General features: G+C 39.0%; 2 protein-coding genes and 1 long non-coding RNA gene across 6 annotated transcripts in view; 2 read left to right on the forward strand and 1 right to left on the reverse strand.

Moving 5' to 3' along the window:
- Positions 1–24,237, forward strand: part of CMSS1 (cms1 ribosomal small subunit homolog) — a 363,871-nt gene that overhangs the window by 176,595 nt on the left and 163,039 nt on the right. The window lies entirely within an intron of this gene.
- LOC105374010 (uncharacterized) overlaps positions 1–24,237 on the forward strand; it is a 223,532-nt gene that overhangs the window by 176,595 nt on the left and 22,700 nt on the right. Inside the window, exon 2 of the long non-coding RNA NR_189163.1 lies at positions 17,247–17,302. This is a non-coding gene — a long non-coding RNA (uncharacterized LOC105374010). The remainder of the gene's footprint in view (positions 1–17,246; positions 17,303–24,237) is intronic.
- The window catches only part of FILIP1L (filamin A interacting protein 1 like), a 285,691-nt gene that overhangs the window by 165,646 nt on the left and 95,808 nt on the right, over positions 1–24,237 (reverse strand). The gene's annotated exons all lie outside the window — the stretch shown is intronic.

Consider the following 24,237-nt stretch of genomic DNA (forward strand, 5'->3'; position numbering starts at 1 on the left):
TTCTCTGAGGTCGATCACATGTTAGGCCACAAAACAAGTCTTAGCAAATTTTTAAAAATCAAAATCATATCAAATATCTTCTCAGAACACAATGGAAAAAGGCTAGAAATCAATACAAGAGGAACTTTGGAACCTATACAAATACATGGAAATTAAACAGCATGTTCCTGAACAATCACTGGGTGTATTAGTCCATTTTCACACTGCTGATAAAGACATACCTGAGACTGGAAAGAAAAAGAGTGCACTCCCACGTGGCTGGGGAGGCCTCAGAATCATGGTGGGAGGCAAAAGGCACTTCTTACATGGGGGTGGCAAGAGAAAATGAGGAAGATGCAAAAGCAGAAACTCCTGATAAAACCATCAGATCTCATGAGACTTATTCACTACCACGAGAACAGTATGGGAGAAACTGCCTTCATGATTCAAATTATCTCCCACCGGGTCCCTCCCACAACACATGGGAATTATGGGAGTACAATTCAAGTTGAGATTTGGGTGGGGACACAGCCAAACCCTATCATTCCACCCCTGGCCCCTCCAAATCTCATGTCCTCACATTTCAAAACCAATCATGCCTTCCCAACAGCACCCAAAGTCTTAACTCATTTCAGCATTAACCCAAAACGCGCAGTCCAAAGTCTCATCTGAGACAAGGCAAGTCCCTTCCACCTATGAGCCAGTAAAATCAAAAGCAAGCTAGTTACTTCCTAGATACAATGTGGGTACAGGTATTGGGTAAATACAGCTGTTCCAAATGGAAGAAATTGGCCAAAACAAAGGGGCTACGGGGCCCATGCAAGTCTGAAATTCAGTGGGGCAGTCAAATTTTAAAGCTCCAAAATGATCTCCTTTATCCCCAGGTCTCACATCCAGGTCACACTGATGTAAGAGGTGGGTTCCCATGGTCTTAGGCAGCTCAGCCCCTGTGGCTTTGCAGGGTACAGCCTCCCTCCCAGCTGCTTTCATTGGCTGGCCTTGAGTATCTGCTGCTTTTCCAGGAGCATGGTGCAAGCTGTTGGTGGATCTTCCATTCTGGGGTCTGGAGGATGGTGGCCCTCTTCTCACAGCTCCACTAGGCAGTGCCCAAGTAGGGACTCTGAGGGCTTCAGAGCACATTTGCCTTCCACACTGCCCTAGCAGAGGTTCTCTATGAGCGCCCTTCCCCTGCAGCAAACTTCTGCCTGGGCATCCAGGCGTTTCCATACATCTTCTGACATCTAGGCAGAGGTTCCCAAACCCCAATCCTTGACTTCTGTGCACTCACAGGTTCAACACCACGTGGAAGCTGCCAAGGCTTGGGTCTTGTACCCTCTGAAGCCACAGCTCAAGGTCTGCGTTGGCCCCTTTCAGCAATGGCCAGAGCAGCTGGGACACAGGGCACCAAGTCCCTGGGCTGCACACAGCATGGGGATCCTGGGCCCAGCCCAGGAAACCATTTTCTCGTAGGCCTCTGGGCTGATGACTGGAGGGGCTTGTGTGAAGACCTCTGACATGCCCTGGAGACATTTTCCCCATTGTCTTGGTGATTAACATTCGGCTCCTTGTTACTTATGTAAATTTCTGCAGCTGGCTTGAATTCCGCCTCAGAAAATGGGTTTTTCTTTTCTATCACATTGTTAGGCTGCAAATTTTCCAAAATTTTATGCTCTGCTTCCCTTACAAAACTGAATGCCTATAACAGCACCCAGGTCACCTCTTGAATGCTTTGCTGCTTAGAAATTTCTTCCACCAGATACCCTAAATCATCTCTCTCAAGTTCAAAGTTTCACAAATCTCTAGGGCAGGGGCAAAATGCTGCCAATCTCTTTGCTAAAACATAACAAGAGTCACCTTTGCTCCAGTTCCCAACAAGTTCCTCATTTCCATCTGAGACCACCTCAGCCTGGACCTTATTGTCCATATCACTGCCAGGCCTTGGTCAAAGCCATTCAGCAAGTCTCTAGGAAGTTCCAACTTTCCCACATTTTCCTGTCTTCTTCTGAGCCCTCCAAACTGTTCCAACCTCTGCCTTTTACCCAGTTCCAAAGCCACTTCCACATTTTCGGGTATCTTTTCAGCAATGCCCCACTCCACCAGTACCAATTGACTGTATTAGTCAGTTTTCATGCTGCTGATAAAGACATACCCAAGACTGGGAAGAAAAAGAGGTTTAATTGGACTTACAGTTCCACATGTCTGGGGAGTCCTCAGAATCATAGTGGGAGGCAAAAGGCGCTTCTTACATGGGGGTGGCAAGAGAAAATGAGGAAGATGCAAAAGCGGAAACTCCTGATAAAACCATCAGATCTCGTGAGACTTACTCACTACCATGAGAACAGTATGGGGAAAACCGGCCCCATGATTCAAATTATCTCCCACCGAGTCCCTCCCACAACACATGGGAATTATGGGAGTACAATTCAAGATGAGATTTGGGTGGGGACACAGCCAAACCATATCACTGGGTCAATGAAGAAATTATAATGGAAATTTAAAATTTTTTCGAAACAAATGAAAATGAAAACACAACATGCCTTAACCTATGGTATACAGCACAAGCAGTGCTAAATGGAAAGTTTATAGCATTAAATGCGTACATCAATAAAATATCTGAAATTAACAACCTAACATCACAAACTAAACCCAAAGTTAGCAGAAGAAAAGAAATAACAAAGATCAGAGCAGAACTAAATGGAGTAGAAACAAGAAAAACCATACAAAGGATGGACAAAATGAAAAGTTGGTTCTTTGAAAGGATAAACAAAATGGATAAACTGCTTGCTAGACTAACCAAGAAGAAGGTCCAAATAAAAATCAGAAATGATAAAAGGAGGCATTTTTTACAACTGATACCAAGAAATATAAAAGATCACCAGAGACTATTAGGAACAACTATGTGCTCACAAACTAGAAAACCTAGAGGAAATGGCTGTATGCTATCTTTTTAATCCTCACAAGTGTATTATTGGGAAAATGAGTCACATGTCACCATTAAGTGACAAATCCAGATTTTGAGGCTAAGTCTTCCAAGTCCATTGTTCTTTCTGATACCCCAGTGGTTCTCAATCTTGGCTACGCATTAGAATACGTAGGAAGCTTTTTCAATTTTGCCAGAGCCTGACTCACCAGTAATATTCACAATAGATGGTAGGGGCAGGGTGGGAAGGATAGCAGAGAAACCAACAAAAGTGCTTCCAGAAAAAGTAAAAAGAATATTTCAGTGATCCTTACTGTCACTTCCTCTGAAGTGAATAATAGAGCAGATTTATTAGTAGTTTAAAACTTTGTACACAGAGCTATGAAAATAAAGAATATTTATGAAAAGATAAAATAAGAATAGCATGAGGTAATAGAGTTTTGATTTCCCTCAAATACCAAATATCTGGCAATTTAACACATAAGTCATGCTCTTATTACACAAACCTTAATAAAATGTAAACTAAAGTATAATGCATTTTGAAGATAATCTGCTTTACAAATGTAGGCTTAGGATTTCTACATCAAGAATCAAGATCAAGTTGAATAAAATTATTCAGAAGAGTCATTTCAGGTTCCTGCTAGAGCATAGAGCTAAAACCAGTTAACTGGTGTGGAAAACTTGTGGAAACACAAGTTAACTAGTGTTTAGTTTAACTTGTGAGTTAAAACCAGTTAACTGGTGCGGAAATTCAGAATCATAGTGTACTACTGAAAGAGTTTCTAATCTCAGCAAGATCTGTTACCATCTGAAAAGTTATTAATGGCAAAAACTGCAATTACTTTTGCACCAACCTAATACTTAGTTCTATAAATTAGTAGCTATTTGTAAAGGATAAATCTATCCTAGATATCCCTAATTTAGATCTGAAAATGTCTTTCTTGGAATGTTTTCTAACTACAGGGTTAGAAACATCTTTAAGTAGAGTGAGTTTAAATGTTTGGTGTAGCAACCCATCTTGCATGTGTTTAAATGTTTGTATACCAACACATTCTTTGAGTGGGGTAAACTATATATACGTACTCAAAGAATGTACATTTTTGAGATTAGATTTTTACCAAGCACAATTTGGTAAAGGGAAGTAGGGAAGTAGGACTTGTGGGTTGTACCACTTTTGCAGGAGAAAAATGCAGGTATTTTGGAGCTAATTAAAGAAAGACAAAACTCAAAACTTAGTCTTTCCAGCACCCATGCTGGAGTGCAGTGGTGCGATCTCGGCTCACTGCAAGCTCCGCCTCCCGGGTTCACGCGATTCTCCCGCCTCAGCCTCCCCAGTAGCTGGGACTACAAGCACATGCCACCATGCCCCAGCCAATTTTTTGTTTTTGTATTTTTAGTAGAGACCGGGTTTCACCGTATTAGCCAGGATGGTCTCGATCTCCTGACCTCGTGATCCGCCCGCCTTAGCCTCCCAAAGTAATGGGATTACAGGCGTGAGCCACCGCGCCCGGCCATGGTTCTTAAACTCTAACCTAATCTTTTCCCCCAACTAGAAACTTTCAGTAGTTCTCCACTATCTTTGGCATAAAATTCAAGCACACACCCAGAGAAAACCTCCACCACAAGATTTTTGGTTTATTCTTTAATACTTAGCTTTGACGTTGCTACTCTGTGAAGCCTTCCGTGCCTCCCATAGGCACTTGTACTATGTACCTATATCCGTCATATATATCTCAGTTACTGATTCAATTTACAGTTGTTGAATGCCAGTTTTATGCCATGAATTGTATTTAGTGTTGAAGATACTGAGTAAAGCAGCCTTTATTTTTTAATGATCTCTAGGTGAGGAAGCATATTTAAGCAAATTTTAGAAAGTGTGATAAGCTCTCACTGTAGCAAGGAGGAAAAAGAGGGGCACTGTCTCATAGCACATATCACATTCTTTTGTGATCATTACTGTGTTTCTCTCCCACTGGAATGGAAGGCGTGTATATTCCCTGCATCAGAGTCATAAGTATAGAGTTGGTGTGCAATAGTAGTTGTATTTTGGATGGATGGATGGGTGGGTGAGTGGTTGGGAGGAAATTGCAACAACTGCCTAAAATTGTTTAGTAGATTATCGACAGACTTTATTTAGAGTTGGATAAGGGAGGTGCATGAATATGGGAACATATATATCCTTACACTGTATAAGCTAAATCCTTGCCTTGGGAACTTCTCCTTGTGGTTCAGTGAGTCTTGAATCTGTTAGAGAGGATCTCGGGATATAGGCTTTTCAGTCAGCGCTTTGCTAAACACATCAAAGAAGTCTGTCACTTGATGGTTCATTGCTTTATGATTTGCCAGAAGTTCAGGCAAAAGGTCCCAATTAAAAGCCCTGGGTTGTTTCTCATGGTCTCTTGCTCAATGGCAAGGGGAGATTCCTCAAGGCTTCATCACATCACCAAACAGTGCATCCAGTTAATCTGCTAGATTTAAAAAAACAAAACAAAACAAAACATGCCATGCTAAAATTTAATAGTTCAGTTTCACACATAGTCCAATTCCCTCCATATTGGACTATGGGCCTCTGTTTGTGTTGACATAAAGGTATCTCTAGACTCTAGAACAGTGATTCTCAGCCCTGGCTTAAAAACAAAAAGAAAAGAAATACCAGACTCCACCTCCAGAGTCTTATTTGCCTGTAATGGGGCCCAGGCATCTCTATTTTTTGAAAGCGCCCAAGTTGATTCTAATATATAATCAGGACTGGAAACACTGGCCTAGAGTCAAGACCAGAACACTTTACAATTAGCCTGGAATTTGTTCCACAAAAATTTCTTCCTGCCTTCTTCTGATCCTTCAGGTCTCTATCTAATTATCACCTCCTCAGTAATATTGTCCGGTGACCTTGCTTTTTGTAGGAAAAAAGTCATCCAAAGGGGCCTCCTCTATCACCTTGTCCCTCAAAGTATTTACTACAACCTGAAAATAACTTGTGTATTTATTTGTTTTCTTGTTTGTTATCCATCCCTCCTACTAAATGAGGAATATCATATATTTATTGGCAGCTGCTGTTGTGTGAATGTCGTCAGCTGTAGATCTAGTAATATGTGTGACTGCTGCTAGGCCAAATCAAGGAAGGGGAGAAGGAGCTGGAAGAAAGGGTAAAAACGGGTGAAAATTTGATGGGAAGTGAAAATTCAGACAATACTCCTAAAAGTGAAAATTCTGACCAGGCGCAGTAGCTTATGGCTGTAATTCCAGCACTTTGGGAGGCCAAGGCAGGAGGATTGCTTGGGCCCAGGAGTTCAAGGCCAGAGTGAGCTATGATTGTGCTATTGCACTCCAACCTGGGCGATAGCGCAAGACTCTGTCTCTTAAAAAAATTAATAAAAATTCTAACCCCTATTCCCCAGGAGTAGCCACTGTTTACAGTTTGGTGTTTATTGTTTGAAGTGTATTGAAATGTGTACACAAATAACATACAGATTGGTTTACAAATAATGGAACACTTTAACAAATATATTACTCAGTAACTATGTTGTATATAAATGTGTAGTCAAAGCCTGTAGTTGACCTACGGCAAGACACTTGTAAGAGTAGCTCCTTGATTTAATGCCAACTATGTTTTCTATAAGATAACCTAGTTACTGGGTGATAGATTTTTTAAAACTGTTCAATTCCCTTTGAATTGTTCTATATTTCACACACACACACACTCTTCCCAAAAATATTATTGTGCCTACTTATTAATGCAGTTATTTTAGAGGTTAGCTGTCCTCCCAAAATTGGCTTAGATTTAAATAGGGTTAAGTGGTGATAAATTTAGTAGTAGTAGCCATACCCTCTCACTTTGTCTCAGTTCACCTATTTAATAGTATACTATGACCAGCAGATCAAATCAGACCCTTAATCTGTTTTTGTAAATAAAGTTTTATTGGAACATGGCTATACTCCTTCATTTACATATTATCTATCGCTGTTTCTGTGACGCAGTGTCAGAGGTGAGTAGCTGCGACAGAGATCACATAGCCCACAAAATCTGAAATATTACTATCTGGCTTTTTAGGGAAAAAGTTGGCTGACCACTTCCCTAGTTGATCAAAAAGATTATACCATCAGTAATCAATCAGAACAACCCAACTGAGCCCAGTTTATGAGAATGTATTGGTGGTTCTGGGATTTTACATCTTTAAAACTCTATCTGATTGCTTTTCGTAGGAAGAAAGTCAGCCAGAACATTGTTAAATGACAGGGTGGGGAGGGAGTGGGAGACATGTTCCATCTAGTTGGGTCTTGTCTTCCTGTCAGGCAGGTCACATCTTCTCCCTTTCTCTTCTTTCCTCTCCCAAAAGAAACAGTACACATTGCAGATGTGGCCAAGGTTTTCAAAATACCTGTAGGTTGGATCCTTTGAATTTAAACCAGTCTGCCAAGTCTTTGCTGCCAAGCCTCATAAATCATTTGGCTGAATAATTAAAGGGATGGGTGTCTTGTTGAATGCTGCACCAGGTGTGGTGGGGCAACTTACCCTCCCCTAAGCTGCTCAGCATAGAAGGTCGGGGACCCAACACGGTGTCGCCTATGAGGGAAGCACAATGAGACATCTGGTTTTCATCTCCAGTGGGCTTGTCCATATCCCCCCCAATTCTGAAGCTTTGTTGGAAATGCCCCTCTCTGGAGATTCCATCACAAATCTGCTGGTGATGCGTGTGTGACTGTTTGCAGCTCTGGAAAAGCGCGGTGCCACTGCAAGTGGAAAACATGCCCAAAGCTCACTGGGACTGACCACCTCCTGTACAGACCTGTGTCTCTAATGAATTCTTCTTTATTTGGAGCTGATGGTGTTGTACTTAAAAGCTGCTGGGTAAATCACGCACAGACTGATCATGATTTTGGTTTAGAGTTAGGTTAGAGCATCTCTTTTAAGTTATGAATTATTATGAATTTTTTGTACCTTCAAAACTTCTTGTTGTTCAAAACATTCTCCATACAGAAGATAGGTCTTAATACATTATATCCCCTGATACACATTTGCTTTCAAGCTTCTGTGGCTTAGACTGGAGTATCTCTATAATCTCAGGAGTGAATATTCACATTTTCTAGAACCACCAGTTTCTGCCTGCCACTGCTTACTTGCTTTTACAAGATTTGCACACAGGTACACACTCTTCTAGTAATTCCGAGTAGGATGGAAGTAGCCTAAAATTTGAGTGACCTAGATAGCTGATAAAAAGTAAAGCTGATTTTATGCCTAGCTTTTAAAACCAAATGCATATCTGTCCATCATATGGGTGTGATTGACCTCAATTTTTAATGATGAAATTACATAGCTAAAAAAGACCTTGAAGCTCATCTAATTGTACATGTGGAAACGGGGCCTGTGGACCTGGAGTGACTTGTCCAAAATGATGAAGCCTAGTCCCTTAGGCCTTAGACCAGGTGGCTTGATCTCTAGTTATACATCCCACCCCTATGACTTCCCCTCTAAAGCATGATTTAAACAAAAGGAAGTACCAGAAACTTCAGTTTGGGTTCATATTGCCTTCTCTGATGAGTATGTGTATGTTCTGAAGCTCTCTCTGCTGTCTGCAAATCAGACATTCTTGCTGGGTTGCATCAGAGTCCAGGCGACAAGATTGATGAAGAAAGGGCAGAGGAGGGATGACGTAATGGATTGTGCAGCATTTACCTGCGAATTATCTCTAGCTGTGTACTGCTTGATGTCTGTGTGACTCACATACTGAGGTACTGCCATCCCTATTATTCAGCACTGTAGCCTCACACTTACCTCACCCTGTGTTTCTCTCCTTTTCCTGCCAAATCTGATTAGAAGCACTTTTGTTGTAAGCCCATGTTTATGAAGCCATAAGTGGACTTCATACCAATGACCATGTGGAGAAAATAAAAGAATGTTAGAACTGGCAAGTTACACATTGACTCAGTCAAACCAGCTTGATTTCTGTCTCAGTGTAGTGCAGTAAATACTTACATAGCACCTGCCATATGCCCAGCACTGTCAGGGTTTTCTTCCCTTACGTGGTTGTTTTGTCTTCTTAGCTTCAGTTTAACCAATGCACCTAGAATAAACCTGTAGCAAGTGCCTACCATGTGCAAGTGACTATGATAGATGCGTTCACATGCATTTTTTCTTTTGAATCTCAAAACAACCCTGTGAAGTATCCATTTTGTAGATGGCCCAGGTGACTTAGCTAATGTGTGTCAGAATTGGAATTAGAATCTCAGTCCCTTGACACTAAGTACAGTGTTTTTTCCAGTGCATCACAAGTATATTTGATTTGTGTACTCGAGAAGTTTTTGCAAGAAAACTCTCCAGTTTTCTTAAGGTCATCTTCATACTTGATCTATGATCTTCATACTTGATCTAGTGTCTGCCTCTGTTGTTTGTTTACCCTTGAGATGCTAAAAGTCAAGAGCATAGACATATGTATATTTATTGAGCAATAACCATTAAGTTCTATGTTGAAGTTGTATCATACAAACACTAACTTTGCATGAGTTCAACTACACCTGCTCAGCAAATGAATATAAAGAGAGAAGGCATAAAAATTTACATTGTGCAAACAAGTCTTCTCAGGTTGTATTCAATGAGTCTATGCCTGGGAATGAACCTGAAATGGACGGTGTATATTGATTTTTCTGTACATGTCTGTTCCCACCTGCCTCTCTCAGGGTAAGCATCTTGCCTTACTCAGATGGTTACCAAAACTGGAGGCAAAATCCACCTTGATTCGGCCTACTGAGAGACAGTATTGGCTTCCTGCATGATGCCTTCCTAGGGGATTTGCAAGGTAATTTTGACATAAATTGAGGGTTTTTTCCCCCTTACATATTCTCCAAGAAACCTAAACTCCAAGTAAAATGCAGCTTCCGTAGGATGATAGTGGGTTGCATATAATCAAGGAGGGGATTTTTCTTTAGAGTGAACTGAAACTGTCTTGGGCTCAAGAACATTGTGTATAATGGTAGCTGAACATATCTTCTATTCTCTGTGTATTGTGACAGGTTGGAAGGATTAATACTGAGAAGATCAAATATTCTTTGTGTTCATAAGAGAACTGTGTTACCACTGAAACCAAGGGAGGAGAACCAACAGAAGGAAAAATCCAATGAGGTCACCCATCAGAGTGGTGGAGAAAAAGGATTAAGAAAATCCCATTAAATTTAGTTGCAGGTGACGTTTGAAAGAATAGTTGTAGTCAATTATAAGGTCAAAACCAAGATACAAGGAATTAAGAAACATCATCATCATCAGGACAGAGTAGCCAACAGGATGTCATGAAACCAAAAGAGGACGGCTTCATGAAGAGAGAGCACCATAGGTGGGGGTTGAGGAATGAGAACTGGGACTAGGTAGTGATAATACCTAAAAGGTAGGATTGGTGGGTTTAAAAGTGGAAGCACGTAATGTCATCAAAATGAATTCTGGCTTCTGAGCTAGTCTGAGATTCTTAATGTTTGAGTTTCCCCCTATGGGGCAGGTGGGGAAAATCTGGCCACTGAGAGATTAGAGGCAGGAGAATTATTGGTGTCTGTTGGCAAGCAGATTCTCATAGCCTCATACCCATTAGATATTGGATTTCACTTTCATTACTTTTCTAAGTAGTTAGGTTCTAATTTGCTTGCAATTTGAGAAATCAAGGCTGGCTCTACAAGGCTGTCATCATGCTGGGAAAAGGGGTGCCAGAATGCAGCAGGACGTAACCAGAAAGCCAGTAAAGGTTCAACTCTTATGAATAGGAAAGCCAGCTAATTCATTCATAATACCAAACCTTATCTTACTCAAGGAAGTGGAGTTACAACCAGGAAACCTCCCTTTCTTTCCTGTATTTGTATAGCACCTTGTATTGTTAAAAATGAAAGGTTGTTGGTGATAATTTTCTTTTTCTCAGATTGCTCACTTTGTGTTTTTGGCTCAATATTCAGTGTGACTGCTTGACTACTGTCACTCAAACAGGCTGTCTTGAAAAAGGTGAAGCTGGGAGGTTAGGGGGTTCAGATTAGGATGGGATCTCAGAGTGGGGTCCCTCTACCCCCACTGTATAGGAATCTCCTTGGGTGCTTATTAAAAATGTAGATTCCAGGGTTCCACCCAAGACCTACTAAATATGAATCTATATTTATAGCATCCCTGAGAATTCTTATGAAGTCTAGATTTTAAGAACCCTGGTTTAGGAAATGTGAGTGTAGTGTAATAAACCAAATTTTACAAGAATAACCTTTTAACAAATTGAATTCCAATGATTCTAAAGTTAAATTGTATTTATAAAATATAGCCAGAAATATTTGTTTTAATGGAAATTTATAAGCCTCTTTGAAACTCTTAGAGAAATCTAAATACAAGGCACACAGAAAATGTTAGCAGTCATAATAAACACACTTGGTTATGAGGAAGAGTGTTGTGAATTCAGAAAGTTTGTGTGTTTTGTGGAATTTCTATTATTGCCCAAGAGAGGAAAGAACTGAAAGGAGAGAACTTGGAAGAAGCTTTCTTTGGCTTCCAAGATCCTAATCCTCCAAAATGCAGCTGCTTGCTACCCACCATCTCTTTGCCACAGACCAGCTGTGTCCCCATTCATTCCCACCTCCGCTATTGCTTTTTCAATCCACACATGCCAGAACCAGAATGGAGAATGGTAGAGAAGGGAAAGGTAGTTTGATAGGAAGTGGGATAGAAGTTTTATAGAAAAGAGGTTTCTGGAAAGCCCTAAAGCATTAGACCAGAAAGCCCTTAGCCGTAGACCTCTGGGTAAAATTTGTTGCAGTTATAAAACTCTGTGGGATGCAGGTAGGTATACTGGTGGTTTCTGGGGGCTGGGGCAGTAAGACAGGCTGACCCCATTAAGATAACCTCAGAAACTAACCCAAACTGTTTTCCCCAGCCCTCAACTGATCTTTGGCTCTTATTTAAATTTTGTTTTTGTTGTCTTTGAATTGTTTCCTTTGTACAAGTCATTTCCCTAAATAATCTCCAGATTTCTTCATGAGTGGAATAGTTAGGTACTTCCTTTGAATACCTTTGCCAACAGCCTTTTTTCCTCCTTCCCCATAATTATCATAACTATTACCCACAAATGGATAAATTTGGTTCCTATCTTTCAGTGCTTTTCATGAGGTTATCATCTATAATTTTCTGCCCCAAAGTCTCCTTTTAAAAAAAGTATTTTTTCTATATAGTCATGAAGGCTATCATTCAAATCCCAGAAGTTGTAGTTTTACCCTTTTTGTTTAGTACTGTTAAAACTCAGCTTTGGAATGATGAGAATTCAGCTCATTTATCTTACATCTTTTCTTTCCAAAAAAAAAAAAAAATTCCAGCTTGGGTTGCACTCAGCCCTTAGCATAGTGACTCCCAGAGTTTGCTAGTTAAGTTAGGAAATTAAAAGTAAGAGCTTACTCTGTTTTGAATCAGATAAGTAAATTAATAATTGCGGCATGTCAGCCAAAGTAAACAAGCATTCTTGATGGGTAGAACTGTGCATTGTCTTAAGCTATTTGATTACTAAACCACTGCAAGCTTTTAAAATTGAACTATCTCTAATATGCATTGAGAAGGATAAAAAATAACTTGTTTTAAAAAGTGTTTTTGTTTGGTTTTGTTCTGTATATTCTTTGTCCAAAACTTGAGCATATTCATCTTTATAAATCTTTCATTACTTACTGGCTTTCTTAGTGCCTTAGCTGGTATTTTCCACATGAGGTTTACACCATCTTGTGGCCTACAGTTTTCTGACTCGCTTTTTCTTGCATCCTTGGCATTCATTAGCCTATTGGTAAATGTTTGAAATGGGAAGAAAAGGAGAAATCACCTGTCATTTTCTGCTCTTAAGGCTTTTATTGCTTTTTCTATTTTCTCTTCATGACCATGAAAGTAAATGGTTTGAGTCTCTCAGACATACTCTTTTTAGCTTTTATTTTTTGAGATGAAAATATCTTATTTCCTGAAATTTTTATTTGACTAGAAAACTAGTCCATGTAGAGGAGAGCTTTGATGATGTGTCTGCCCACAAAACAGATTTTTGCCATGGCTCGCTAATGCATTTTGTGTGAAATATCAAATTTTGGAAACCTTGCTTGTATATCTCCCACCACAGAAAAAAATGAGAAGATGAAATGAGAGAAATCAAATCATGAAAGATGCAAAAGTCTAGTCAGCAGAAACAGTAAGAGATCCGTTATGTAATGAAGAAGAGAGTCAGGGACAAAACCAACTCTCAGTTATGTGACTGAGGCACAGAGAGGCCCAGAATTGGCCCAGAAAGTGTACAGATTTTGCTCTAATTGCATTTCAAGGTCAACCTTTAAATTGCCTTAAACCAAAAAAGTGTGTCACTGATGGAAGCTACAGTATCGTGTAGGCAAAATGGGCCTTGTTGCTTTGACTGCCACTGTTACCAATTGTGATATAGTACTGATAGAAAAAATATATTAGTTATCTAGTGGTAACAGGGAATTGGCCACTGCCAGCCACTGAGGGAGTACAGACAGGTGTCTATTGGTGTCTGTTAGTGAACAGATTCTTATAGTCTCTCACCCACTGGGTAATGCATTGCATATAGTTACTAGTTTTTAAAATAGTTAACTCCTAATTTTCTTGCAAATTTGGAAACTGAGGGCTCCCTGGGAATTATAGGTTATGGTTGTTTTCCCCAGCACAACCTTGCCTGGGACCTGTACACAAAGTGTTTCCCTCCTCCAAGTTGACATAACATTTTCCACCTTCCTAATGTTTTTACTAACATAATTACAATAAATTGCTGCTGCTGTTGGAGACATTCTCTTTTCTCACATCTGGGTTTAAAGCTTTCAGTAAGGCTACTAAGCAGTGGGAAGGAAGGAGCCTTTCCATAACTTTAAGGTCATTCCTGATAAAGGTAACTACTCCACCCCTGCTTCCCAATTAGATTCCCTGCCAGCAATAGCATAGACTTGAACCAGTGCCAAATGTTTTAATACCATAAGGACTTGCTTGATAAAGGCTATGCAAGGCAAAGAAAAAAAGCAGCCAAAGTTCCCCAAACTAAAATTTTCCAAGATTTTCATATGAGTTGCAGCCAGGGTACCCTTCATATAAGTGTTACCATGTGTTTGCTGTAGTCATTGGTATCCTGCAATTCTCATTCTCCAGGACTTCTAGAGATTAGAATTTAGAGGAAGTGCTGGTGATGTCAAGATGGAAATCTACTCTAGCTGCAAAGAATATAGTCTTTGACAAAAAGAAGGACAATAGCAAAGACAGGGAACAATGGTGGGGTTAATACTATGATCTTTCCAAATAATTATTAAGTAATTATAAGTCTATTGCACAGCAACATTCAGCATTGTACTTCATTGTACCATTAATGTTTGCATATGTTTGCTAGCCTTGCTTCTCTTACTGTTATAAACTCTAGACTAGGAGGAGTATTGTCTTGCTCTGGCCCTTGTATTTTGCGTGCAGAAATAGCATAATGTCATCAATAAACAGTTGTTGGTCATCTGACTAGATGCAGCAAAGTGATTTTATTCCTGGGCATGGGTGGGATTAATTAATAATTACAAAGTGCCTACATAGTTCAGAAACTTGGAACACCTATAAATATAGGAAAGAAACTTTTTTCTGTTTGACATTGATTTTCAGATTTCATATGCAACGATAGTTTTAGCCTCAACATCCACCCAAACCTTTACCATAGTTGCTAAGAAATAATAAAAATGACTGGTTTGCAGTAGACTTAAAAGGAAAAATAAAGCTTCTTTGGCCTTTAAATATTAGAATATTCCCGAATGAGAATTCAAATTGAGTGCAAGTGACTGAACTTACTGAGGCCTGTTTCAATTTGATCACTCAAAGCTTTGCCTCCTGTTTGAAGAAATTCTTGGATTTTAACCTACGGTATTATCAAGAATATAAGATCTATCTTCAGTTCAATTTATTTTCCTGTTGTCCTGAAACAAAATGGCAGCCAATATAAATTTCCCCATAATTTCACTGAGGGAGTTAGAGTTCGCAGTAGTGGTAATAATAATGATAGCATTAAAAGCAGAAACAAGACTGTCTGCTCCTGTTAGCAACCTGAGCAGTCAAAGACATTAATGGACCATGAAGACTAGAGGGCTGGGGTGACTGTGGGTCAGAGCTAATGCACATAGGCAAGCACGGTATAGGGGAAACTTTCGTCACCTCCACTACACTGAGCCTTTTCACTTGATAGACCAAGCTCTTAATTTCCCCAGGTTGTTAATCTGGCACCTTTCATGAACATCAGTATTCACTTTGGAAAATAAAAAAGCAAACAGCCAAAACATCTAAGTGTTAAGGGGAAAGAAAGTCAACAGAGGAAATTACAGTAGCACATGATACACTGGCACCTTTTTCTTGAGTCATAGGAGGCAAAGATATTTGAAAGTCTGCAGCTTTGATTGTCTCTCTCTTAGTAACCAGAGGTCTTGAGAAAGAGAGTGCAATGTATGGTTTAGCTGTAGCCCTTATATGTATACGTGTCCACGTTTTCAAAACTGACCCCTTAAAATATGTATGAGAGCCAAGTGGTTTGAAAGTAAATACCACTTTCTTTCACCATTGCTTTTGCTCCATGTTTACCATTTCCTTTCTAACATTAGTTACTGTTTCTAAAGGAATTGGTGTTTCCTGATCTGGTATAGTTTCTGTTTGTTTTGGATTGTCCATCAGTTGTTAAGATATCTACCATATGTTTTACAGACTAGTATATTGAGGGTTGAGTACCATACCAAGTTCTCACTTTTTTCTTTCTGTCTCTCTTATTTTTAGGTAAGTCATCTGATTGGAGCCACATTTCATTTGATGGAATTTTCCATTTGGTAAAGTATTGCTATTTTTATCAAATGATGTAAACTGTCATTTTTGTGATTTCTCAGTATGTTTTTCCCCCCACAACATTGTCCTTAGTAGTATACTGTGTTCTGCATGGAAGGAAAAAAAAATGAGTTGGGGAGCGGGGAGGTTTGGAAACAAGAAAAAAGGCATGTAACTGAGTATATTTACATGTCAAAAAACACTTATTGAAAGAAACCTGCCTCTTTATAGCTATTGTCCTCAATTTTGCCTTTTAGAGCTCCAAGAAGTAGAGAAGTTATTATATTTAATGGTATTTAGAAAGGACCATGCTTACTTCAGAGAATCCAACTAAGAGCAGTGACTTCCAGTTGTATTTGGTGACAATCTGGCATTCCTCAACATGTTTCTATACATGTTGGCTAAAGCATTCTATATCATCTGAGAGTTTTTCTTTCTTTTTTTTTTTTTGTTTTTGGAGATGGAGTGTCCCTCTGTCACCCAGGCTGGAGTGCAGTGGCTCGATCTCTGCCCACTGCAACTTCTACCTCCCGGGTTCAAGCAGTTCTCCTGCCTCAGCCTCCTGAGTAGCTGGGATTACAGGTGCGCGCCTCCACGCCCGGATTTTTTTTTTTTTTTTTTTTTGTATTTTTAGTAGAGGTGGGGGTTTCAGCATGTTGGTCAGGCTGGTCTCGAACTCCTGACCTCATGATCCGCCTGCTTCAGCCTCCCAAAGTGCTGGGATTACAGATGTGAGCCACCGCGCCCAGCTGAGAGTTTTTCTTTTGCATCATAGTTTAAGTCTACAAATAATTGCCCCTTTTAAAACAGTTATTTAACAGAAGAAATAGAAAAATACACAATTTAGGAAGTACAAACCCAGGATTCTGTGGTGCAAGGATGGTACCAGGGCTTGTGGTCTGTGATAATAGAAGATTGAAGCTTCTGATATTAAGCACGACAGAGACAAAGGAGTCGTTTCATGACAGCAAATTACTTTTCCCTAATGGTTCTGGATCTTTCATTAGTAAGAAGGATGTCTATATTTGATACACTTTCTGTAAAAGTGAGGTAGGTTATGAACTTAGGAATTCTTTTTTCCTCAGGGAAATGTTTCTCTTTCTGTAGAACTCGACACGTGTTGATCTATTGAGTATCAAGCAACCAAAACCTAAAAACCTCCTCCCAGCATCATGCCATGCCCAGCGTGTTTCTTGAGTAGTACTTGCATTGTATGTTTTCTTTTAGAGACTAACTTAATAAAAAGATATAATTTAAAACACCCAGAGGACTAGTTAGATGCCATCTTCCTCCAAAATGGAGTTGGACTCCATTTTCTCTTCCTTCCCTCCAGTTTTAATTTTATAAACTAAATACCTGACAATTTATATCTATAAAGCCTGTTGAGATCATGGAATATTAGCACTTATTGTTGCTGATTGAGAGAAGACTCACAATTCTTGAATATTGGATGAAGCAGTGGATAGGATGTCATTGATGTTCTGCCAAAAAAGTTCATGTATTAAACCAAAGTTCCTTCTTGAATAGAAGACTGTCCCATCTCTACCCATAGGCTCCACTTCACAGGTCCAAGAGCCCATCAGGTAGGGATGACCTCTGCTCTGTAAAACACTGTGTTTTGGTTGAATGAATGAATAGAAGGATGAGTGGCTGAATGGTTTAATAAATAGATACTCATATCAGACTGTTAAAATTCAAGTTTTAGTATTATAATATTAAAAACTTTTAAAAATAGAGAACTTCCACTTTTAGTCACAGTTATCTTGTTTGGCAATATAAGATATTGTGTGGCTGCTTTCTGATATTTCGATTATGATAATTCCCATATCAATTATCATTTACCTGAATTGGATTTCTTTTGAAAACCTTTGTGAGGGGGGTGGTATGTGGTAAGCAAGGGATGAATATCATCATTGAACTCAAAAGTATTCAAAAAGCAACCTAAAAAATGCAAAATGAAATATTTGTTAATTCTAAACTTGAGTGGGATTTATAATGTCTATATCTGTCTTTTATATTCCAAAAGGATAAAATATCTAAAATTATTTGTTTTATATCTTTATACTAGAAAGAAGATTGGTAGAATTATTACTTTGTCAACCAATTAGAAGGCCTGCCAAATATGAGATGTATAAAAATAATTTCAGTGCTGTTTCCCCATTTTCTTTCCTGAGAATCTCTAGTTTTCTCATCATATCATTAAAAGCCCAAAACGAAACAAAATATTATTTGTATTTTTCAAAAAATTGATTATCCAGAGGAAACTCCAGCTTTCTAGTGTAGTATTTTCTAACTTTGGAGGAAATCAAGAGCCTTAAGGACTACATATCACTTAGTAAAGGGTAGAAACTTATGGGAATAAGAATTTTCTCTAACATTGGGAAGGCTGGGAGAGGTTCTAGTGCTTCAGGAGGATTTCAGATTCCCCCACCGTGGGCCTAATTATTTCATAGACTCAGTTCAGCTAAACTACCATCATAAAAGGCAGACATACATGGTTGCCCCAATTATAAAATCAGTTGACATCAAGTTTTCCAGATTAAATCACTAGTGATGGATTGATTTCTGGATCCAGGAAGCATATTCTTTTTTTTTTTTTTTTTTGGGTTGGGGGAGGGACAGGTTTTCTCTCTGTTGCCAAGGCTGGAGTGCAGTAGCATGATCCCCAGCTCACTGCAGCTTCCACCTCCCAGGCTCAAGCAGTCCTCCCATCTCAGCCTCCTAAGTAGCTAGGATTACAGACTGTGCCACCACACCCAACCAATTTTTTATTTTATGTATGTATGTATTTATTTATTTATTTGGAGAGACAGGGTTTTGTCATGTTGTCCGGGCTGATCTTCACCACACCCAGCCAATTTTTTTGTTTGTTTGTTTTGTTTGGAGAGACAGGGTTTTGTCTTGTTGTCCGGGCTGATCTTGAACTCCTGGGCTCAAGCAGTCCACCCACCTTGGCCTCCCAAAGTGCTGGGATTGTTGGCATGAGCTACCATGCCCAACTGCATATTCTGACAGCAGCCCATTTCAAGGCCAGTGAGGTGTTGTTGTTGTTGTTGTTGTTGTTGTTGTTGTTGTTGTTGTTGTTTGAGATGGAGTCTTGCTCTGTCACCCAGGCTGGAGTGCAGTGGTGCGATCTCAGCTCACTGAATCCTCCACTTCCCAGGTTCAAGCGATTCTCCTGCCTCAGCCTCCTGAGTAGCTGGGATTACAGTCACATACCACCATGCCCAGCTAATTTTTATATTTTTAGTAGAGACCGGGTTTCCCCATGTTGGCCAGACTGGTCTCAAACTCCTGACCTCAGGTGGTCCATCCACCTCGGCCTCCCAAAGTGCTGGGATTACAGGCATGAGCCACCACACTCGGCTGGCCAGTGAGTTTTATTAGATAAAAAGTATGTAGAGAATGTTTGAAATTATATTTATAACAGAAAATGAATGACCATATTCATTTTGTTTTCTTTATAAAATAAGCTTCTTCTAAACAGTGAAATGATATTTTTTCCTAGTTTTATTAAGGTTTAGTTGGCAAATAAAAATTGTGTACATTGACTGTGTACAATGCAATGTTTGATGTATGTATACCTTGTGAAATGATTAAATCCAGCTAATCAACATATTCATCATCTCACATATTTTGTGGTGAGAAAATTTAAAATCTGCTATTTTAGCAATTTTCAAGTGTACAATATGTTGTTAACTATAGTCACCGTGCTTCACAATAGATCAACAGAATTCCTGTCTAACTGAAACTGTGTACCCTTTGAACAACATCTCCCCATGTTCCTCTGTGCCGCCCCCTTCCCACTGCCCCTTGCTCCTGGCAACTGCCACTCTACTCTCTGCTGCTATGAATTTGATTTTTTAAGATTCCGCATGTAAGTGAGATCATACAATGTTTGTCTCTCTGTCCCTGGCTTATTTCATTTAACATAATGTCCTCCAGGTTCATCCACATTGTTGAAAATGACAGAATTTCTTTCTTTGTAAACCCTGAATAGTAGTATTACATTGTATATGTATATATATATTATATATATATCACATTTTCTTTATCCATTCATCTGTCAATGGACACCTAAGTTGATTCCACATCTTGACTGTTATGAATAATGCTGCAATGAATATGAGAATGTAGATATCTTTTCAAGATACTTATTTCATTTCTTTTGGCTATATACCCAAAAATGGGATTGTTGCATTATATGGTAGTTCTATTTTTTATTTTTTTAGAAACCTGCAGACTTATTTTCTGTAATAGCTATTATAATTTACATTCCCACCAACAGTGTATAAGAGTTCCCTTTCTCCACATCCTCACCAACACTTTTCTTTTGTCTGTTTGATAATAACCATTCTAACAGATGTGAGGTGATATCTTATTGTGGTTTTAAATTTTGTTTCCCTGATGTCTAGTGATGTTAAACATTTTTTCATATACCTGTTGGCCATTTGGATGTCTTCTTTTGAGAAATGTCTTTTCAGGTTCATTTTTAATTGGGTTGTTTATTTTCTTGCTATTGAGTTCTTTGAGTTCCCTATATGTTTTGGATATTGGATATTAACCCTTTATCAGATGATTGGTTCACAAATGTTTTCTCTCATTCCATAGGTTGCATCTTCATTCTATTGATTTTTTTTTTTTTTTTGCTGTGTCAAAACTTTTTATCTGATGCAACACCATTTGTCTTTTTCTTTTCTTTTTTTTTTTTCTTTCTTTCTTTTTTTTTTTTTTTTTTTTTTTGCCCCTGTTGCTTGTGTTTTGGGGATCATATCCAAAAATTATTTCCCCTACCAATATCAAGAAGCTTTTTCCCCATGTTTTTTCATCTAGTAGTTTTATAATTTCAGGTTTTACATTTAAGGCTTTAATCTATCTTGAGTTGAATTTTGTGTATTGTACGAGATAAGGGTCTAATTTCATTCTTCCTCATGTAGATATCCAGTTTTCCCTGCACCATTTGTTAAAGATGCTGTCCTTTTCCTATTTTGCATTTTTGGTACCTTCGTTGTAGATCATTTGACCCTAAAGATGTGGATTAATTTCTGGGCTCTCTGTTATGTTCCCTTGGATTATATGTTTGTTTTCATGACAGTACCATGCTGTTTTGATTACTATAGCTTTATAGTGTATTTTTAAATCAGGTAGTATGATGCTTCAAGCTTTGTTCTTTTTGCTCGAGATTGGAGTATTTGAGGTGGTTTCATACGAATTTTAGGATTGCTTTTTCTATTTCTGTGAAAAATCTCATTAGAATTTTGATAGGTATTGCATTGAATCTACAAATTGCTGTGGGTGCTATGGAAATTTTAACAGTATTCATTTTTCTAATTCATGAACACAGGATATCTTTCCATTTATTTGTGGGACAATATTTTTTACACATTCTTGGTTTCAAGTTCATTGCTTCTAGAATTCTGATGGTCCTTGAAACCGAATGCTAAGATTATTGAGTAAAAGTTAGCTACAGCTGTGACTGAAATTACAGAAGAGAAACTTGCTCTTAAATTTTCTGTGCTTCAGTGTCTTCATCGTTTTTGCTTTCATCAAGCTGTAAGTTCCTTGAAGTCAGGGACTTGTCACACAGCCTGGTACACAGAAGGCACTCACTGAATATCTGATAAATGAGAGGAGGGACTACTGAATGTAAAATAATCTCTATCACATATGATCATTGTAGGGAATAATGAGGCGATGTATATATGTGGAGAACCCAAAAATTGTTGCTCAAAAATTGTTTTTTTAAAAACCTGATCCATGCTAATCAAATTCACAAAAAGACAGATTGCCTTTTTAATTTTTTTATTTTCTAAAATATTTTCATTGCTTTACCTTAAAAGAACATGTGCTGACCATAATTTAACCTTTTTTAGATGACCCAAGATTATTATTCACAACACTTCATTTCAGCAAGTGTGATGATCCTTGCAGGCCGTTTTGTGGATTTAGAGGTCTCTTTATCACTCTCCTAGACAGTTTCTGAGTGCTGAGCATTGGGGCTATTGGGTCAGCTTTTGTTTGTTTGTTTGTTTTTGAGACGCAGTTTCACTCTTGTTGCCCAGGCTGGAGTGCAATGGTGCGATCTCGGCTCACTGCAACCTCCGCCTCCTGGGTTCAAGTGATTCTCCTGCCTCAGCCTCCCGAGTAGGTGGGATTACAGGCATGCGCACCACACACAGCTAATTTTGTATCTTTAGTAGAGGCAGGGTATCTCCATGTTGGTCAGGCTGGTCTCAAATTCCTGACCTCAGGTGATCCACCCACCTCGGAAAGTGCTGGGATTACAGGTGTGAGCTACTACACCCAGCTGGGTCAGCTGTTTATAACTTTTCTGATTTCTTGGCTGTGAAGACTGGCAGACTTCTGTGAGGGTGCCTTGCTGAAACTTCCTCCCTGATGTGAATGCTCCTAATCTTCTGTGACCTTGAAACTAAAATACTTTGCCATATGAATATGCATATAAAATAGGAGTACACTAGGAAGCTCTTTCACATGTAAAGTCCATGCAATTCATAAACTGGCTGCTCTTGAATCCTTTTTATCCTTTCACTTATTTCTTGAATCTGAATTGTAACATTTTAGATATGTGCAAAGTTGCTATAAACTTATAAAGCAGACATTTCCTTTATCTCTTTTCTTAATAGTGCTTCTAGGAACAGATGCAGATTTCATGACATCTTAGTCTATGTTATCTAATGGCAAAGTGAGAATTAGTTGTGTCCAAAATATCAATCAGAATATTTCCATCTAATTATAGTTCACAGCTTCCTTATGAATCATTTTATATTTACATAAGATTTGCTTTAATTTTGTTGAACAGTAATGGAGATCTTTAAATGGGTTTTTGTTAGTTTTTCAAATTCACCAGTTTCTCACATGTGTGTATAATTCTTCATAAAGACTTCTATAGCACCTCATTTTGATATTTTTCCTTGTCAAAATGATATTTCCTGAAAATGTTTGTCATCAAAAATCAGAATTTATAAAATATCTGATCAAGTATATGTCTGTATCTGATTATCAATTAAGCTGAAAATGAATCGAGTGCTGGAGAAAAGTCCCATCCAGTTGGTCCATTATACAGAGCGGAAAGCACTAACATGTTACATCAGCAAAGGTTTTTGGGGCTCCAGTGTAGATTGGAGCAGTGAAGTTAGATGAGATTTGTAGCACCTCCTGATGACCATGCTAATCACTCCTCTACCACAGTTACCTCTCCCATTATTAGTAACTTGTTAGCTCATCACATTTCTTCAGCACCACTTTATCCTCTTTAACCATCTGTCCTATTTATATACTCAGATATACCTGGCACCTACCAAATGAGAGTAAGCACCATAGTAACCAAAGAGTGAAATTATTGTATATGTACTTTGTGCTGTCAGCAACATGTATCCTGAGATCTTTGTTGAAGAGTCAGTTAATGAAATTTGAGAGTCCTTGGATTATCTGACATGTAAAGTTGTGAGCCAGATGTGGTGGCATGCACCTGTAGTCCCAGCACTTTGGGAGGCCCAGCGGGGAGGATCCCTTGAGCCCAGGAGTTCAAAACCAGCCGAGGCAACAAAGTGAGACACTGTCTCTAAAAATAATACAAAAAAAAGAAACACTGGTCTTCTCCGACCTTCAGTGCTCCTGGTTTTCAGGTCTTCAGATCCAGACTGGAATCTCTACCATCAGCTTTCTATTTCTCAGGCCCATAACTACATCGCCAGTTTTCCTGGATCTGTAGCTTGCAAATTGCAGATTGTGGAACTTCTCAGCCTCCATAATTGCCTGGAGCTTCCCAGGCAAAGACTTTGAAACTCTGAGAAGGGTATTCAGGAGGATTTTTAAGTTGTGCACAGTGACCAATATGTATAAAAGGTGAAGGCTAGGTCCAGGGGCTCACGCCTGTAATCTCAGCACTTTGGGAGGCCGAGGCGGGCAGATCACCAGGTCAAGAGATCGAGACCATCTGGCCAACATGGTGAAATCTCGTCTCTATTAAAAATACAAAAATTAGCCGGGCGTGGTGGCATGTCCCTGTAATCCCAGCTACTCAGGAGGCTGAGACAGGAGAATTGCTTGAACCCAGGAGGCAGAGGTTACAGTGAGCTGAGATTGTGCCATTGCACTCCAGCCTAGGCGACAAGAGCAAAACTCCATCTCCAAACAGAAAAAAAGAAAGAAAGGTGAAGCAAGCAGGATTAAAGTGTGAGAAATTAAACTGCAGTGTTGTGGCCACAAAACTTCAGCATATTTTGTAGGTGCACTGGAGTTGAGAGGGCCCTTCAAAGTCAGATGAGGCTCATTTGTGTTGTCAAAAATGGAAATGGATAGCCACATGCAGAAGAATGAAATTTGACCTTTATCTCACACCATCTACGAAAATCAACTCGAAATGAATTAAAGACTAAAACTTAAGGCTGAAATCATAAAATTGCTAGTAGAAAACAAAAAAAAATGCTTCTTGACATGAGTCTGGGTAGGGATTTTTTGGATATGATATCAAAGCACAGGCAACTAAAGCAAGAAT

This window comes from Homo sapiens, chromosome 3 (assembly GCF_000001405.40).
Source record: "Homo sapiens chromosome 3, GRCh38.p14 Primary Assembly".
NCBI lineage: Eukaryota > Metazoa > Chordata > Mammalia > Primates > Hominidae > Homo > Homo sapiens.